The sequence below is a fragment of the Homo sapiens genome, chromosome 20 (assembly GCF_000001405.40).
Source record: "Homo sapiens chromosome 20, GRCh38.p14 Primary Assembly".
NCBI classification, from domain to species: domain Eukaryota; kingdom Metazoa; phylum Chordata; class Mammalia; order Primates; family Hominidae; genus Homo; species Homo sapiens.
Genome location: NC_000020.11, coordinates 32720911 through 32738706, shown reverse-complemented (window position 1 = coordinate 32738706; position 17796 = coordinate 32720911). Strand labels below are relative to the sequence as shown.

At 48.8% G+C, this 17796-nt stretch overlaps 1 protein-coding gene across 8 annotated transcripts in view, besides 7 other annotated features; it reads left to right on the top strand.

Moving 5' to 3' along the window:
• COMMD7 (COMM domain containing 7) overlaps positions 1-17796 on the top strand; it is a 40769-nt gene that overhangs the window by 4761 nt on the left and 18212 nt on the right. For 4 of the 8 annotated variants that reach the window (XM_047439932.1, NM_001099339.2, XM_017027685.3 and 1 more), the window contains exons 2-3: positions 10568-10618; positions 10712-10814. In XM_047439932.1, the coding sequence (XP_047295888.1) occupies positions 10568-10618; positions 10712-10814 (154 nt within the window). Of the gene's footprint in view, positions 1-10564; positions 10619-10711; positions 10815-17796 lie in introns of all 8 variants that reach the window. The other 4 variants (XM_017027686.3, NM_053041.3, XM_011528604.4 and 1 more) reach the window with 1 other exon arrangement.
• Positions 212-377: a silencer, noted in NCBI's record as "fragment chr20:31326137-31326302 (GRCh37/hg19 assembly coordinates)". NCBI's record gives its function as "represses an EF-1alpha promoter that drives an FKBP-Casp9 reporter gene in an ReSE screen in K562 erythroleukemia cells {active_cell/tissue: K562}" and the evidence as "EXISTENCE:reporter gene assay evidence [ECO:0000049][PMID:32094911]".
• Positions 748-1603: an enhancer, noted in NCBI's record as "H3K27ac hESC enhancer chr20:31324911-31325766 (GRCh37/hg19 assembly coordinates)". NCBI's record gives its function as "activates a minimal SCP1, AML or CMV promoter by ChIP-STARR-seq in primed H9 embryonic stem cells {active_cell/tissue: H9 hESC(primed)}" and the evidence as "EXISTENCE:reporter gene assay evidence [ECO:0000049][PMID:30033119]".
• Positions 4178-5045: an enhancer, noted in NCBI's record as "H3K27ac hESC enhancer chr20:31321469-31322336 (GRCh37/hg19 assembly coordinates)". NCBI's record gives its function as "activates a minimal SCP1, AML or CMV promoter by ChIP-STARR-seq in naive H9 embryonic stem cells {active_cell/tissue: H9 hESC(naive)}" and the evidence as "EXISTENCE:reporter gene assay evidence [ECO:0000049][PMID:30033119]".
• Positions 5046-5914: an enhancer, noted in NCBI's record as "H3K27ac hESC enhancer chr20:31320600-31321468 (GRCh37/hg19 assembly coordinates)". NCBI's record gives its function as "activates a minimal SCP1, AML or CMV promoter by ChIP-STARR-seq in primed H9 embryonic stem cells {active_cell/tissue: H9 hESC(primed)}" and the evidence as "EXISTENCE:reporter gene assay evidence [ECO:0000049][PMID:30033119]".
• Positions 6991-7285: a silencer, noted in NCBI's record as "tiled region #10337; HepG2 Repressive DNase matched - State 5:Enh". NCBI's record gives its function as "represses a minimal TATA promoter and a strong SV40 promoter by Sharpr-MPRA in HepG2 cells {active_cell/tissue: HepG2}" and the evidence as "EXISTENCE:reporter gene assay evidence [ECO:0000049][PMID:27701403]".
• Positions 15294-15800: an enhancer, noted in NCBI's record as "H3K4me1 hESC enhancer chr20:31310711-31311220 (GRCh37/hg19 assembly coordinates)". NCBI's record gives its function as "activates a minimal SCP1, AML or CMV promoter by ChIP-STARR-seq in naive H9 embryonic stem cells {active_cell/tissue: H9 hESC(naive)}" and the evidence as "EXISTENCE:reporter gene assay evidence [ECO:0000049][PMID:30033119]".
• Positions 15869-16370: an enhancer, noted in NCBI's record as "OCT4 hESC enhancer chr20:31310141-31310642 (GRCh37/hg19 assembly coordinates)". NCBI's record gives its function as "activates a minimal SCP1, AML or CMV promoter by ChIP-STARR-seq in naive and primed H9 embryonic stem cells {active_cell/tissue: H9 hESC(naive and primed)}" and the evidence as "EXISTENCE:reporter gene assay evidence [ECO:0000049][PMID:30033119]".

The following is a 17796-nucleotide window of genomic DNA, read 5'->3' as shown; positions in this document are numbered from 1 at the left end:
GCTCATGCCTGTAATCAAGCACTTTGGGAGGTAGAGGTAGGGGGATCACTTGAGGCCAGGAGTTCAAGACTAGCCTGAGCAACATAGCAAGACCCCATCTCTAGGAAAACATTTTTTTTCCTTTGAGATAGTCTCAATATTGCCCAGGCTGTAGTGCAATGGCATGATCTTGGCTTACTGCAACCTCCGCCTCCTAGGTTCAAGTGATTCTCCTGCCTCAGCCTCCCAAGTAGCTGGGACTACAGGCGTGCACCACCATGCCCGGCTCATGTTTGTATTCTTAATAGAGATGAGGTTTCACCATGTTGGCTAAGCTGGTCTCCAACTCCTGACCTTGTAACCTGCCCACCTCGGCCTCCCAAAGTGTTGGGATTATAGGCGTGAGCCACCGTACCTGGCCAAAAGTTTTAAAAATTAGCTGAGAGTGGTGGTATGTGCCTGTAGTTCTAGCTACTTAAGTGGCTGAGGCAGGAGAATCCCTTAAGCCCAGAAGTTTGAGGCTGCAGTGAGCTATGACCATGGCATTGCACTCCAGCCTGGGTCAGAAAATGCGACCCTGTCTCAAGAAAATAAATAAATAATGTCAGGCAGCCAGGAAGTGATGGAGCCAGGAATTTAGGATCACGTGTTTGGCTTCAAAGCCTATGGTGGTAGCTTAGCTTTTACTTGTTAATGTATCAGTGTTCTCTGGAAGATATCCATTTGGAGAATAAAAAAAGATTCTGCTACTAACAAAGTTTTTTTCTTTTTTTTTTTTTTAAGATACTGGATTGTATGATCTGTAAAATTACCTCCAGCTTGGTATTCGTAGAAAATACAAACCACTTCCTTTGAGATCAGCACTTGACTCATTTTCTTTTTTTTTTTTTAAGACAGGACCTCACTCTGTTGCCAAGGCTGGAGAGCAGTGTTACAATAATGGCTCACTGCAGTCTTGAACTCCTGGGCTCAAGGAGTCCTCCTGCCTCAGCCTCTTGAGTAGCTGGAACCACAGGCATGTGCCACCACACCAGGCTAATTTTTTATTTTTTAATTTTTTTTATAGCAACACGGTCACTGTTTGTTGCCTAGGTTGGTCTGGGCCTCCTGGCCTTAAGGGATCCTCCCACCTCAGCCTCCCAAAGTGCTGGGATTATAGGTGTGAGCCATTACACCCAGAGTTGACTCATTTTCTTTTCTTTCTTTCGTTTTTTTAAATTTGAGACAGGGTCTCATTCTATCACCCAGGCTGGAGTGCAGCCTCGACCTCCCAGGCTCAAGTGATCCTCCTACCTCAGCCTTTCTAGTAGCTGGGACTATAGGCATGTACCACCGTGCCTGGCTTATCTTTTTTTTTTGAGACGGAGTCTTGCTCTGTTGCCCAGGCTGGAGTGCAATGGCACGATCTCGGCTCACTGCAACCTCTGTCTCCCAGGTTCAAGCAATTCTCCTGCCTCAGCCTCCCGAGTAGCTGAGATTACAGGTGCCCTCCCTCACACCCAGCTAAACTTTATATATATGTATATGTATATATTTCTTTTTTTTTGAGATGGAGTCTCGCTCTGTCACCCAGGCTGGAATGCAGTGGCGCGATCTCGGCTCACTGCAAGCTCTGCCTCCTGGGTTCACACCATTCTCCTGCCTCAGCCTCCAGAGTGGCTGGGACTACAGGTGCCCGCCACTACGCCTGGCTAATTTTTTGTATTTTTAGTAGAGACGGGGTTTCACCATGTTGGTCAGGCTACTCTCGAACTCCTGACCTTAGGTGATCCACCTGCCTCAGCCTCCTAAAGTGCTGGGATTATAGGCATGAGCCATGGTGCCCAGCTCTGGCTAATTTTTGTAATTTTTGAAGAAATGGGGTTGTGCCATGTTGCCCAGGCTGGTCTAGAACTTCGGGCTCAAGTGATATACCCACTGTGGCTTCCCAAATTGCTGGGATTACAGGTGTGAGCCATCACCCCCAGGAACTGACTCATTTTCTAACCTTGAAACATACTGTAAACCTTTACCTTTATTGGTTTTTTTTGTTGTTGTTGTTTGTTTGTTTGTTTGTTTGAGTCAGAGTCTCGCTGTATCACCCAGGCTGAAGTGCAGTGGCATGATCTCAGCTCACTGCAACCTCTGCCTCCTGGGTTCAAGCGATTCTCCTGCCTCAGGCTCCTGAGTAGCTGGGATTACAGGCATGTGCCACCATGCCTGGCTAATTTTTTGTATTTTTAGTAGAGACGGGGTTTCACCGTGTTAGCCAGGATGGTCTCAATCGCCTGACCTTGTGATCCGCCGGCCTCAGCCTCCCAAAGTGCTGGGATTACAGGTGTGAGCCACCAGGCCCAGCTACCTTTATTGTTAATACAGAAACCTTAAACCTTTCTCCTAATAAGCAACTTACCTGAGTCGTTTGGCCCATTTCTCTGTCTTTTGTTGGATAATCAGACTTCTCCAAGTACCCACTCTGTTAGCTGAATTTATTTTGAATTCTAAGGTGTAGGCCTCAAGTAGTAAAACGAATCATTGTGTGAACCTTGTCTTTAACATTTATTGCTCGTTCGGTGGGTGTTTACCTGAATGCCTACATAAACCAAATAGCCACTAAACCTGGTAGGACTTAGGAATATTTGATGGTCAAGGCCTTTTGTCCTGGGGAAGTTGTGATCTTCTACAGCAGGTCATAAAATGAAGAAGCAGATAGTACCAAATTGCACATAGATGTGCCCTTTGATGCCCGTGGCCAGTCCCAGGCAATGTGGAGTCTGAGAATAGGCAGGATTTTAAGTTAATCATTTTAGAATGAGAGTAAACTCAGAAAAATATAAAGGATAATACAAGCAAGTGGCCCACAGTCCTCTTACCAAGCTGGAAATGAAAGTAATAGACAGGAAATTCAAACAGTATACAAAGATATCAAAGTGAAATAAGCTAGGTATGGTACAGCATGTCTGTAATCCCAGAGCAACCCAGGAGGCTGAGGCAGGAGCCTAGGAGTTGGAAGCTGCAGTGAGCTATGATGATCACCCACTGTACTCCAGCCTGAAAGAGTGAGACCCCCATCTCTTAAAAATAAAATGTTTATTTTTCTTATCTCCAGAAATCATTTTAATAGTTTCTTATAGCTGGTCACAGTGGCTCACGCCTGTAATCCAACCACTTTGGGAAGCCGAGGCAGGTGGATCACTTCAGGCCAGCAGTCTAAGACCAGTCTGGCCAACATGGTGAAACCCTGTCTCCACTAAAAATACAAAAATTAGCCGGGCATGGTAGTGCACGCTTATAATCCCAGCTACTCAGGAGGCTGAGGAGGATAATCACTTGTACCCAGGAGGCGGAGGTTGCAGTGAGCCATGATCGCACCACTGCACTCCAGCCTGGGTGACACAGAGAGACTCTGTCTCAAAAAACAAACAAAAAATAGTTTCTTAGTTATTTTTATAGAAATAAAAGTCTTAATTTGCCAGCATATATATGAGTATCCTTTAAAAAAAAATTTTTTTTTTTTGAGTCTCGCGCTGTTGCCCAGGCTGGAGTGCAATGGCGCAATCTTGGCTCACTGCAACCTCTGCCTCCCGGGTTCAAGCAGTTCTCCTGCCTCAGCCTCCCAAGTAGCTGGGATTACAGGTGCTCACCATTATGCCCAGCTAATTTTTTATGTTTTTAGTAGAATGGGGTTTCACCATGTTTGCCAGTCTGGTCTTGAACTCCTGACCAAAGGTGATCCACCTTCCTCAGACTCGCAAAGTGCTAGGATTACAGGCATGAGCCACCGTGCCTGGGCATGTTTTCTTATTTTTATTTTATTTTATTTTTGAGATGGAGTCTCACTGTGTTGCCCAAGCTGGACTGCAATGGTACAATCTTGGCTCACTGCAACCTTTGCCTCCTGGGTTTAAGCCATCCTCCTGCCTCAGCCTCCCGAGTAGCTGGGACTACAGCTACCACCACACCTGGCTAATTTTTGTATTTTTAGTAGACATGGGGTTTCATTATGTTGGCCAGGATGGTCTTGAACTCCTGACCTTAGGTGATCTGCCATCCTCGGCCTCCCGAAGTGCTGGGATTACAGGCGTGAGCCGCTGTGCCTGGCCTTATTTTTATTTTTTAGAGATGAGGTCTTACTATGCTGCCTATGGTGATCTTGAACATCTAGGCTCAAGTGATCCTCCCATTTCTGGCTTTGAATTTTTATATATATATAGAAAATGGTTCATTCTGTATATATTTTTTCTTCATCTTGCTGGGGTTTTTTTTTGGTTGGTTTTGAGACGGAGTCAAGCTCTGTCACCCAGGCTGGAGTGCAGTGGCATGATCTGGGCTCACTGCAACCTCCACCTCCCGGGTTCAAGCAATTCTCTGCCTCAGCCTCCCGAGTAGCTGGGATTACAGGCGCATGCCACCATGCCCGGCTAATTTTTGTATTTTTAGTAGAGACGGGGTTTCACCATCTTGGCCAGGCTGGTCTTGAACTCCTGACCTTGTGATCCACCCGCCTTGGCCTCCCAAAGTGCTGGGATTACAAGCGTGAGGCACGGCACTTTTTTTTTTTTTTTTTTGTGACGGAGTCTCGCTCTGTTGCCCAGGCTGGAGTGCAGTGGTGTGATCTGGGCTCACCACAAGCTCTGCCTTCCAGGTTCACACCATTCTCCTGCCTCAGCCTCCCCTGTAGCTGGGACTATAGGCGCCCCCTACCACGCTTGGCTAATTTTTTTATTTTTTATTTTTAGTAGAGATGGGGTTTCACCGTAGCCAGGATGGTCTCTGTCTCCTGACCTCATGATCTGCGCGCCTCGGCCTCCCTAAGTATTGGGATTACAGGTGTGAGCCACCGCACCCGGCCTTCTTTTTTTTTTTTGAGAAGGAGTTCCACTCCGCCCAGGCTGGAGTGCAATCGTGCAATCTCGGCTCACTGCAACCTCTGCCTCCCAGGTTCAAGCAATTCTCCTGCCTCAGCCTCCTGAGTAGCTGGGATTATAGACGCACACCACCACGCCTGGCTAATTTTTTTTTTTTTTTTTTTGAGATGGAGTCTTGCCCTGTCGCCCAGGTTGGAGTGCAATGGTGCAATCTCGGCTCACTGCAACCTCCACCTCCCAGGTTCAAGCAATTCTGCCTCAGCCTCCCAAGTAGCTGGGATTATAGGCACGTGCCACCACACTCGGCTAATTTTTTGTTTCTTTAGTCGAGATGGGGTTTCACCATGTTAGCTAGGCTGGTCTCAAACTCCTGACCTCAGGTGATCTGCCCGCCTCGGCCTCCCAAAGTGCTGGGATTACAGGCGTGAGCCACCGCTCCAGGCCATTTTTGAATTTTTAGTAGAGACGGGGTTTGTTTGGCTAAGTTGGCCAGGCTGGTCTCAAACTCCTAACCTCTGGTTATCCCCCCGCCTCAACCTCCCAAAGTGCTGGGATTACAGGCGTGAGCCACCGCGCGTGGCCTGTTTTGTTGTTGTTTTTTAAACTGAGCAATGTATCCTATTTTCTCCCTTCAATACAAATAGATCTACTGCATTCTTTTTTTTTGAGATGGAGTCTTACTCTGTTGCCCAGGCTGGAGTGCAGTGGCACAATCTCAGCTTGCTGTAGCCTCCGCCTCCTGGGTTGAAGTAATTCTGCTGGGATTACAGGCGCCCGCCACCATGCCCAGCTAATTTTTGTATTTTTAGTAGAGACGGGGTTTCGCCATGTTGGCCAGGCTGATCTCAAACTCCTGACCTCAGGTGATCCGCCCGCCTCAGCCACCAAAGTGCTGGGATTACAGATGTGAGCCACCGCGTCCGACCTTCTTTTTTCTTTTTTTTTGAGATGGAATCTCACTCTGTCGCCCAGGCTGGAGTGCAGTGGCGCGATCTCGGCTCACTGCAAGCTCCACCTCCCAGGTTCATGCCATTCTCCTGCCTCAGCCTCCCGAGTAGCTGGGACTACAGGCGCCCACTTCCAAGACCGGCTAATTTTTTTGTATTTTTAGTAGAGGGTTTAGAGACAGGGTTTCACCGTGTTAGCCAGGATGGTCTAGATCTCATGACCTCGTGATCCACCCACCTCCGCCTCCCAAAGTGCTGGGATTACAGGCTTGAGCCATGGTGCCAGGCCTCTTTTTTTCTTTTTAAATTTAAATGTATTATTATGATTTGTAGAGATGGGCTCTCACTATGTTGCCTGAACATAATGCTTGTCTCCTGGGATCAAGCGGTCCTCCTGCCTCAGCCTCCCAAAGTGCTGGCATTACAGGCATGAGCCACTGTGACTTGCCAAAACATTTACTTTTTGGAACATACCTAAAGGATATACTTCATGGAATGGAATTACTAGGTCGAGGGGTATAATCACTTTAAAAATTTGATGCCGGTTGGGTGTGGTTGGTCAAACCTATAATCCCAGTTCTTAGGGAGGGTGAGGCAGGAGGATTGCTTGAGCCCAGGAGTTCCAGATGAGCTGGGGCAACATTGTGAGACCCTGTCTCTACAAAATATAAAAAAATTAGCCCAATGTGGATGTGGTGGCATGTGCCTGTAATCTCAGCTACTCAGCAGACTGAGGTGGGAGGATTGCTTTGAACCCAAGAGGTTGGAGGCTCCAGCGAGCCGTGATTGCGCCACTGCACTCCAGTCTGGGCGACAGAGCCAGACTCTGCCTCAAAAAAATACAAGTTAGATGCACATTGTGAAATTGCCCCTAGAAAGGTCACCCCAGTGTATCCTATTATCAGTCATGCAGGAACCTGTCTGCTTCCTTGTACTTTCACCAGCACTGGTGTCCTAGTCAAACTTTTGGGTTTGCAGATCTGATAAGTGAAAAATAGTATATTCTGGTTTTACTGATTTGCATTTCTCTAGTCTGGAATGACCTTGTGCATCTCTTCCTAAGTTTACTGGGGAGAATCCTTAAGATTTTGAGATGCATGCATAGATAGCCATGGGTGGGTGAGCATTCCAGAGGGAGGCACCTATGCAATTGCAAAGGCAAAGCATTGCGGGGAGTGTTTAGGAAAGATTTATTCAGCAAATACTGTGCACTTACAGTATTTAAGTTGCTGTGAAGCTGCAATGCCATATAAGGAAACTTCTCTTCTAAGACATGTTTGTGTTCCTTATCAGAGTTGAAAATTGTAGGTGGCCCCAGGGAGCCTCAGAAGTTGAGAATCTGGGTAGGTCCCTTTCTTGTTGGGAGTGTCATGGTTTCTTGGCAGGGCTTTGGAGGATAAGGAGGGCTTGGGAAGGGAGAGATAGGGACGAGGGATCAATAACACATTCTTGCACTGTCGCTCAGGCTGGATTGCAGTGGCGCAATCATAGTTTGCTGCAGCCTCAAGCTCCTGGGCTCAAGCAATCCTTCCACCTCAGCCTCCAGAGTAGCTAGAACTACAGGTGCATACCACCATGCTTGACTAATTTATTTTTATTTTTTATTTTTATTTTTTGAGCTAGGATCTTGTTCTGTCACTCAGGCTGGAGTTCAGTGGTGTGATCATGACTCACTGCAGCTTGGAATGCCTGGGCTGAAGCAATCCTCCTGCCTCAGCCTCCTGAGTAGCTAGGACTACAGGAGCATGCCACCTTGCCTGGCTAATTTTTAAATTTTTTTATGCAGATTGCCCAAGCTGGTCTCGAACTCCTGGCCTCAAGCAATCCTCTCACTTTGGCCTCCCAGAGTGCTGGGATTACAGGCATGAGCCACCACACCCAGTTTCGTTTTCTTTTAAAATAGAATACATTTTTGAATAAAATAATACAGAGTCCTGACAGATGTGTAGAGTTTAATGTGTCATAGCAGAAGGGATAGGTGCATTTAACATACTACACATACAACTTTGGGGGTTTTAAGCTGAAGTATCTGCCTATAATCTTTTTCTTTTTTTATATATTGCTTCTAGAAGGTGGATCAAATGGTATAGTGACTCTAATTATGACTCTAACTGTAGCTACCATTTGTTTAGCGTCCAGCCTGGCTCTGTGCTAGAGGCTCTGCATGTGTTACTGTTAGTATTGGAAGCTGTGTATTCTTACCTTTGTTTTCCTCGTGGGGACTGGGACACAGATGCTAAACGGCTTGACCAAATTCACAAGAGTAGTCAACGGAGAACACTGATTGAACTGGGTCTTTTAAACCCTGGCATCCTGGTTTTCCCCACTATGCCATACACAGTGGGCTTTTTGTTGTTGTTGTTGTTGTTGTTGTTTTTTGAAACGGAGTCTCGCTCTGTCACCCAGGCTGGAGTGCAGTGGCATGATCTCCACTCACTGCAACCTCCGCCTCCCAGGTTCAAGCAATTCTTCTGCCTCAGCCTCCTGAGTAGCTAGGATTACAGGCACGCACCACCACGCCTGGCTAATTTTTGTATTCTTAGTAGAGACGGGGTTTCACCATGTTGGTCAGGCTGGTCTTGAACTCCCGACCTCAAATGATCCGCCAACCTCAGCCTCTGAAAGTGCTGGGATTACATGCGTGAGCCACCGCGTCCAGCCCATACACACTGTTCACAGGGAGGGACATGAGAAAGTAATGATCTGTGTCTCAGTCAGCTCAGGCCAGGGAGGGACATGAGAAAGTAATGATCTGTGTCTCAGTCAGCTCAGGCCAGGGAGGGACATGATAAAGTAATGATCTGTGTCTCAGTCAGCTCAGGCTGCCATAACAAAATACCTGGGCAGCTGGTATTTTGTTAAGGCAAAATATCATAGACTGGTTGGCTCCAACAGCAGACATTTCTTTCTTTCTTTTTTTTGAGACAGAGTCTCAATCTGTCGTCCAGGCTGGTGTACAGTGGCATGATCACAGCTCACTGCAACCCCTGCCTCCTGGATTCAAGTGAGTCTCCTGCCACAGCCTCCCAAGTAGCTGGGATTACAAGTACACGCCACCACGCCTGGCTAATTTTTTTTTGTTTTTTGTTTTAGTAGAGACGGGGTTTCACTATGCTGGCCAGGCTGGTCTCAAACTCCTGACCTCGTGATCCACTCACTTCAGCCTCCCAAAGTGCTGGGATTACAGGTGTGAGCCACTATGCCCAGCCCAGACATTTATTTCTAACAGTTCTGCTTGCTCGGAAGTACAAGATCAAGTGCCAGCCAGTGTGATTCCTGGCTTGTAGATGACTCCCTCCTTCCTTTTTTTTTTTTTTAAGAGGTGGGGTCTTGCTGTGTTGCCCAGGCAGATCTCAAACTCACAGCCTCAAGCAATCCTCCCATCTTGGTCTCCCAAAATGCTGGGATTACAGGCGTGAGCCACTGCACCTGGCCTCTTCCTCTTCTTATAAGGGCCCCAGCCCTAGGCTGGGCACGGTGGGTCATACCTATAATCCCAGCACTTTGGGAGGCTGAGGCAGGTGGATCACTTGAGGTGAGGAGTTCGAGACCAGCCTGGCCAATATGGTGAAACCCGTCTCTACTAAAAATACAAAAATTATCCAGGTGTGGTGGCAGGCACCTGTAATCCCAGCTGCTCGGGAGGCTGAGGCAGGAGAATTGCTTGAACTCAGAAGGTGGAGGTTGCAGTGAGCCAACATCACACCACTGCACTCCAGCCTGGGCAACAGAGTGAGACTCCATCTAAAAAAAAAAAAAAAAAAAATCAAAATAAGCGCCCCCAGCCCTATGGGGCTAGCATCTCACTCTTATGACCTCATTTAACCTTTATCATCTAACAGGCCCTGTCTTCAAATATTGTCACAATGGAAGTTAGGGCTTCAATATATGAATTTTGGGGAGACACAAACATTCAGTTCCTAACAACACATTACCAGTAAAGAGAAAAGATTAAGACACACAAAACTGTAAGAGTCTGTTCTAGGTGTATAATAAAGTGTTACAGTTTATTGTTGTCTTACACAAGTAACGAGATGTTTATGGGTGGGGGGAACCCAAGAAAATATGAGGCCAGGTGCATGGCTTATGCCTATAATTCCAGCACTTTGGGAGGCTGACGTGGGTAGATCACTTGAGCCCAGGAGTTTGAGACCATCCTGGGCAACAAAGTGAGACCCTGTCTCTACATTAAAAAAAAAATTAGTCGGGTATGGTGGCATGTGCCTGTAGTCCCAGCTACTCTGGAGGCTGAGGTGGGAGGATTGCTTGAGCCCAGGAGGCAGAGGTTGCAGTGAGCCGAGATTGCATCACTGCATTCCAGCCTGGGTGACAGAGAGACCCTGTCTCAGGGAAAGAAAAAAAAAGAAAAGAAAGAAAATATGGATAGGTAAAACAGAAGAAAATAAAAATCATCCAAAGTGGTAACCGCTTTTAATTTTCTGATGATTTCCCCCTTGTGCGTGCGTGTGTGTGTGTGTGTGTGTGTATGTCTGTCTGTGTGTGTCTGTGTCCTAGAGATATATGTGTGCATCTGAGTGCATATGCTTACAGTCTCTCAATACATGTCTGCTAAGTATCCCAATAAACGTGTTTTTCAGATGATGTAGCGACACAGGTATATTGACACTGGTGGTGGGTATTGTGAACATTTGTAACTATAGGATGATCAGAACAGGCATAACACCTGGCTGTTACTGTTCTTCCCTCTCAAGGCTATGCAGTTGCCTGGGGTGGGGCATGCTGACCCAGTAGTAGAAATTGTACTGATGTTCTGTGTTGTTTTCTTCACAGCAGTTCTCAGCCCTGACAGAGGTGCTTTTCCACTTCCTAACTGAGCCAAAAGAGGTAAATAAAACATTCTGTGTTAGGGAGTGGGTCCGTGCTCCCTGAGATGCTTAGAAAGTGAAGGCCCGGGTTTTCACTGTTCTCTCTCTGCAGGTGGAAAGATTTCTGGCTCAGCTCTCTGAATTTGCCACCACCAATCAGATCAGTCTTGGCTCCCTCAGAAGCATCGTGAAAAGCCTCCTTCTGGTTCCAAATGGTGAGTAACCTCTCTTAGCAGCTGTGGCCAGAGACATTAACTTGAACATTCCTTTAGTCCATGGAGTCATTGAAGCATGCTCCGTGGGCCAAGCCAGAGCGTTTGGTAATGAGCCAGACGTGGGTGGGACTCTGTCTCTGGAGGGAGCCCACGTAACAGGTGAACATAGTATAGTTGAATAGTAGTGTGCTGTGGTGCAGCACAGCTGGAAAGTTCAGTGTGCATCTTGGGTTATGTCCTCAGAATGTCCTCTTGTCCTCTCTATAATAAGGACAGAAATTGAGAATAAGCATTTGGAACCTTTTATAGCAATTTGACAATGTCCCTTGAATCTAATACTTTTTTTTTTTTTTTTTTTGAGACAGAATCTTTCTCTGTCGCCAGGCTGAAGTGCAGTGGTGCAATCTTAGCTCACTGTAACCTCTGCCATCCGAGTTCAAGTGATTCTCCTACTCAGCTTCCCGAGTAGCTGGGATTACAGGCACGCACCACCACGCCCAGCTAATTTTTTTATTTTTAGTAGAGACCATGTTGGCCAAGATGGTCATGATCCCTTGACCTCATGATCTGTCTGCCTCAGCCTCCCATAGTGCTGGGATTACAGGCGTGAGCCACCGTACCCGGCCTGAATCTAATAATTTTTTTAAATGGAGCATTTTTTTTTTTTTGACAGGGTCTTGCTCTGTTGCCCAAGCTGGAATACAGTGGTGCAATCATAGCACACTTCAGCCTCAAACTCCTAGGCTCAAGTGATCCTCCCGCCTCAACCCCCAAGTAGCTGGGACCACAGGTGTGCACCACCCTGCCTGGCTAATGTTTTTTGTGTGTAGAGATAGAGTCTCTCTATGTTACCCAGGCTAGTCTCAAACTCCTAGCTCAAGCTGTCCTCCTGCCTTGGCCTCCCAAAGTGCTAGGATTACAGGTATAAGCCACCATGCCCAGGTTCAGTTCAAGTGTATTAGAAGTTGGGGGTTTAATTTGTTTGCTTCTGTTCAGCACTTTCCTATATCTTAGTGAAGGTTCTTTCCTTTGCCCTGTATTGTGCTCCTGAGGTTCTGGGGGCTTGAACCAGAATATTCCAGAGATTTTCAACTGAAATTTTCTGAGCCTCGTGTTTTTGTGATTCTTGCCTTCTTTGCTGTCATGACTTGATAAGAATTTGAGGGTTTTTTTGTTTTGTTTTGCTTTTGAGACAGAGTTTCAATCTTTTTGCCCAGGCTGGAGTGCAATGGCGTGGTCTTGGCTCACCGCAACCTCCACTTCCTGGGTTCAAGTGATTCTCCTGCCTCAGCCTCCCAAGTAACTGGGATTACAAGTGCCCGCCACCACACCCAGCTAATTTTTTGTATTTTTAGTAGAGACAGGGTTTCACCATGTTGGACAGGCTGGTCTCAAACTCCTGACCTTAGGTGATCCACCCACCTCAGTCTCCCAAAGTGTTAGGATTACAGGAGTGAGTCCCTGTGCCTGGGCTTGAAGTCTTTTGTTTGTTTTTTTGAGACGGAGTCTCGCTCTGTCACCTAGGCTGGAGTGCAGTGCAGAATCTTGGCTCACTGCAACCTCTGCCTCCCAGGTTCAAGTGATTCTCCTGCCTCAGCCTCCCGAGTAGCTGGGATTACAGGCACAGGCAAGCGCCACCATGCCCAGCTAATTTTTGAATTTTTAGTAGAGATGGGGTTTCACTGTTTTGGCCAGGCTGGTGGTCTTGAACTCCTGACCTCGTGATCCACCCGCCTTGGCTCCCCAAAGTGCTGGATTACAGACATGAGCCACTGTACTCAGCCAAAGTCTTTTTATATAGGAATACTTTTTTTTTTTTTTTTTTTTTTTGAGACAGGCTTTTGCTCTGTTGCCCACACTGGAGTGCAGTGGCATGATCTCAGCTTACTGCAACCTCCGCCTCCCGGGCTTAAGTGATCCTCCCGTATCAGCCTCCGGAGTAGCTGGGACTACAGACATGCACCACCATGCCTGGCTATTTTTTGTATTATTATTATTATTATTTGTAGAGATGGGGTTTTGCCATGCTGGCCAGGCTGGTTTCAAATTCCCGAGCTCAAGCGATCTGCCCGCCTCAGCCTCCCAGAGTGTTAGGATTACAGGTGTGAGCCATTTCACCAGCAGGAATAAATTTTCATTTTAAACTTTCAAAAACAGTACAGAGCGGCCAGGTGTGGTGGCTCACGCCTGTAATCCCAGCACTTTGGGAGGCCAAGATGGGCGGATCACGAGGTCAGGAGATCGAGACCATCCTGGCTAACACGGTGAAACCCTGTCTCTACTAAAAATACAAAAAATTAGCCGGGTGTGGTGGCTGGCACCTGTAGTCTCAGCTACTCAGGAGGCTGAGGCAGGAGAATGGCGTGATCCCGGGAGGCGGAGTTTGCAGTGAGCTGAGACCGTGCCACTGCACTCCAGCCTGGGCGACGGAGCAACACTCCGTCTCAAAAAAAAAAAAAAACAAAACACAGTATAGAGCTATAGAGAGTCAAAAGTAAAAATCCTCTTTTACTCTCCTCCTACTTTTGTCCCTAGAGATAATCACAATATAATTTTGGACTATGGCCTTTTATATTTTTATGTACACTAATGAACATATTCATGTAGCTTTGTTTTTCATAAATGGTAGCAAACCATAAAAAGTGTCCTGGAACTCACATTTTTTCATCATACCTGGTATATCATGGAGCTCTTTCCACATCACCTTCATTCTTTAGATGGATATAATATCCCATAGACTGAATATATCTCCTTTTAGTTAATCTATATCCTGTTGTTGGATATTTCTGTTGTTCCCATATCTCACCCTTACAAACAATGCCACAGTGAACATCCTTACAACCTCTTCTTACTCACAAATGTGAGTATTTTGAGACCAGCCTGACCAACATGGTGCCTAAAGTGCAGAACCACAAGTCTTTTTTTTTTTTTTTTTTTTTTTAAATTTATTTTTTTATTGATAATTCTTGGGTGTTTCTCACAGAGGGGGATTTGGCAGGGTCATGGGACAATAGTGGAGGGAAGGTCAGCAGATAAACAAGTGAACAAAGGTCTCTGGTTTTCCTAGGCAGAGGACCCTGCGGCCTTCCGCAGTGTTTGTGTCCCTGATTACTTGAGATTAGGGATTGGTGATGACTCTTAACGAGCATGCTGCCTTCAAGCATCTGTTTAACAAAGCACATCTTGCACCGCCCTTAATCCATTTAACCCTGAGTGGACACAGCACATGTTTCAGAGAGCACAGGGTTGGGGGTAAGGTCACAGATCAACAGGATCCCAAGGCAGAGGAATTTTTCTTAGTGCAGAACAAAATGAAAAGTCTCCCATGTCTACTTCTTTCTACACAGACACGGCAACCATCCGATTTCTCAATCTTTTCCCCACCTTTCCCGCCTTTCTATTCCACAAAGCCGCCATTGTCATCCTGGCCCGTTCTCAATGAGCTGTTGGGCACACCTCCCAGACGGGGTGGTGGCCGGGCAGAGGGGCTCCTCACTTCCCAGTAGGGGCGGCCGGGCAGAGGCGCCCCTCACCTCCTGGGCGGGGCGGCTGGCCGGGCGGGGGGCTGACCCCCCCACCTCCCTCCCGGACGGGGCGGCTGGCCGGTCGGGGGGCTGACCCCCCACCTCCCTCCCGGACGGGGCGGCTGGCCAGGCAGAGGGGCTCCTCACTTCCCAGTAGGGGCGGCCGGGCAGAGGCGCCCCTCACCTCCCGGACCGGGCGGCTGGCCGGGCGGGGGGCTGACCCCCCCACCTCCCTCCTGGATGGCACGGCTGGCCGGGCGGGGGGCTGACCCCCCACCTCCCTCCCGGATGGGGCGGCTGGCCGGGCGGGGGGCTGACCCCCCCTCACCTCCCTCCCGGACAGGGTGGCTGCCGGGCGGAGATGCTCCTCACTTCCCAGATGGGGTGGCTGCTGGGCGGAGAGGCTCCTCACTTCTCAGACGGGGCAGCTGCCGGGCGGAGGGGCTCCTCACTTCTCAGACGGGGTGGTTGCCAGGCAGAGGGTCTCCTCACTTCTCAGACGGGGCGGCCGGGCAGAGACGCTCCTCACCTCCCAGACGGGGTCTCGGCCGGGCAGAGGCGCTCCTCACATCCCAGATGGGGCGGTGGGGCAGAGGCGCTCCCCACATCTCAGACGATGGGCGGCCGGGCAGAGACGCTCCTCACTTCCTAGATGTGATGGCGGCTGGGAAGAGGCGCTCCTCACTTCCTAGATGGGATGGCGGCCGGGCGGAGACGCTCCTCACTTCCCAGACTGGGCGGCCGGGCAGAGGGGCTCCTCACATCCCAGACGATGGGCGGCCAGGCAGAGACACTCCTCACTTCCCAGACGGGGTGGCGGCCGGGCAGAGGCTGCAATCTCGGCACTTTGGGAGGCCAAGGCAGGCGGCTGGGAGGTGGAGGTTGTAGTGAGCCGAGATCACGCCACTGCACTCCAGCCTGGGCACCATTGAGCACTGAGTGAACCAGACTCCGTCTGCAATCCCGGCACCTCGGGAGGCCGAGGTTGGCGGATCACTCGCGGTTAGGGGCTGGAGACCGGCCCGGCCAACACAGCGAAACCCCGTCTCCACCAAAACCAGTCAGGCGTGGCGGCGCGTGCCTGCAATCGCAGGCACTCGGCAGGCTGAGGCAGGAGAATCAGGCAGGGAGGTTGCAGTGAGCCGAGATGGCAGCAGTACAGTCCAGCTTCGGCTCCGCATGAGAGGGAGACCGTGGGGAGAGGGAGAGGGAGACGGAGACGGAGACGGAGACGGAGAGGGAGGGAGAGGGAGAGGGAGAGGGAGACGGAGAGGGAGAGGGAGAGGGAGAGGATCACAAGTCTTTATTATTATTATTATTATTTATTTATTTATTTATTTATTTATTTTTGAGATGGAGTCTTGCTCTGTCACCCAGGCTGGAGTGCAGTGGCGTGATCTCAGCTCACTGCAAGCTCTGCCTACCAGGTTCACGCCATTCTGCCTCAGCCTCCCGAGTAGCTGGGACTACAGGTGCCCACCACCACGCCCGGCTAATTTTTTGTATTTTTTAGTAGAGATGGGGTTTCACCGTGTTAGCCAGGATGGTCTCGATCTCTTGACCTCGTGATCCACCCGCCTCAGCCTCCCAAAGTGCTGGGATTACAGGTGTGAGCCACTGGGCTCGGCCAAGTCTTTTTTTTTTTTTTCCTGAGTCTCACTCTGTCACCCAGGCTGGAGTGCAGTGGCACGATCTCGGCTCACTGCAACCTCCACCTCCCGGGTTCAAGTGATTCTTCTGACTCAGCCTTCTGGGTAGCTGGGATTGCAGGCGCCCACCACCATGCCTGGCTAATTTTTGTATTTTTAGTAGAGACCAAGTTTCACCATGTTGGCCAGGCTGGTCTTGAACTCCTGACCTCAGGTGATCTGCCGGCCACGCCTCCCACAGCGCTGGGATTACAGGCATGAGCCATCACACCCGGCCAGAACGATAAATCATTATTCTCATTCTCTGGCCTTCATCTTTGGAAATGGGTTTGTCTGAGGGCTGAGACCTGTCTACCAAACACCTGTTATGGGCACTAATTTTCAGGAGACCTCTGTCTAGTGTCCCTGTCCCCAGTCTTCCCTGTCTTCCTCACCCCACCACACTGTATCCTTTTTTTTTTTTTTTTTTTTTTCGAGACAGAGTTTTGCTCTTGTCACCCAGGCTGGAGTACAGGGGCAAGATCTCGGCTCACTGCAAATTCCGTCGACAAGGTTCAAGCAATTCTCCTTCCTCAGCCTCCCGAGTAGCTGGAACTACAGGCATGCACCACCACACCTGGCTAATTTTTTGTAGTTGTATTTTTATTTTTATTATTTATGAGATGGATTCTCACTCTGTTGCCCAGGCTGGAGTGCAGTGACGTGATCTCGGCTCACTGCAACCTCCACCTCCCGGGTTCAAGCGATTCTCCTGCCTCAGCCTCCCAAATAGCTGGGACTACAGATGCATGCCACCACACTCGGCTAATTTTTTTTTTTTTTTGAGACAACGTCTTGCTCTGTCGCCCAGGCTGGAGCGCAGTAGCATGATTTCAGCTCACTGCAAACCTCCATCTCCCGGATTCAAGCAATTCTCCTGCCTTAGCCTCCCGAGTAGCTGGCATTACAGGCACCCACCACCACGCCCGCCTAATTTTTTGTTTGTTTGTTTTTTGTATTTTTAGTAGAGATGATGTTTCTCCATGTTGGTCAGGCTGGTCTCGAACTCCTGACCTCAGGTTATCTGCCTGCCTTGGCCTCCCAAAGTGCTGGGATTACAGGCATGAGCCACTGTGCTCAGCTGATTTTTTTATTTTTAGTAGAGATGGAGTTTTGCCATGTTGGCCAGGCTGGTCTTGAACTTTTGACCCCAAGTGATCCGCCCACCTCAGCCTCCCAAAGTGCTGGGATTACAGGCGTAAGCCGTCCTGCCCAGCAATTTTTTGTACTTTTAGTAGAGATGGGGTTTCACCATGCTGGCCTGGCTGGTCTTGAACTCCTGACCTCAGGTGATCCGCCTGCCTTGGCCTCCCAAAGTCCTGAGATTATAGATGTGAGCCACTGTGCCCGGCCTATTATTTAAAAAATAAATAGAGTCAGGATCTTCCTATGTTGCCCAGGCTGGTCTCCAGCGATCCTGGGCCCAAGCAGTCCTCCTGCCTTGGAGTTTGAAAGTGCTGGGATTACAGGCATGAGCCACCGCACTTGGCCCCCCACTGTATCCTGTTAGATTGCCTTCAGCCTTGAGCTGCAACCCTGTGCTGCCTCAGAAAGCCTTCCCAAATCGCTTGAGTTCACAGTAACCTCCCCTTCCAGCATCTGAGATATGTTTTTTATCTGTAACTATCATTTTGGTCAGTACTAATTTACAGGTTTCTATTGTTCCTGCTGATTTGTTTGTATCTGATGTATCTGTCTCATGGCTCTAATAGATAGTTCCTCAAACTCAGGGGCGAGTCTTGTTCTTTCCTAAGCCATAGTTAGAAGCAA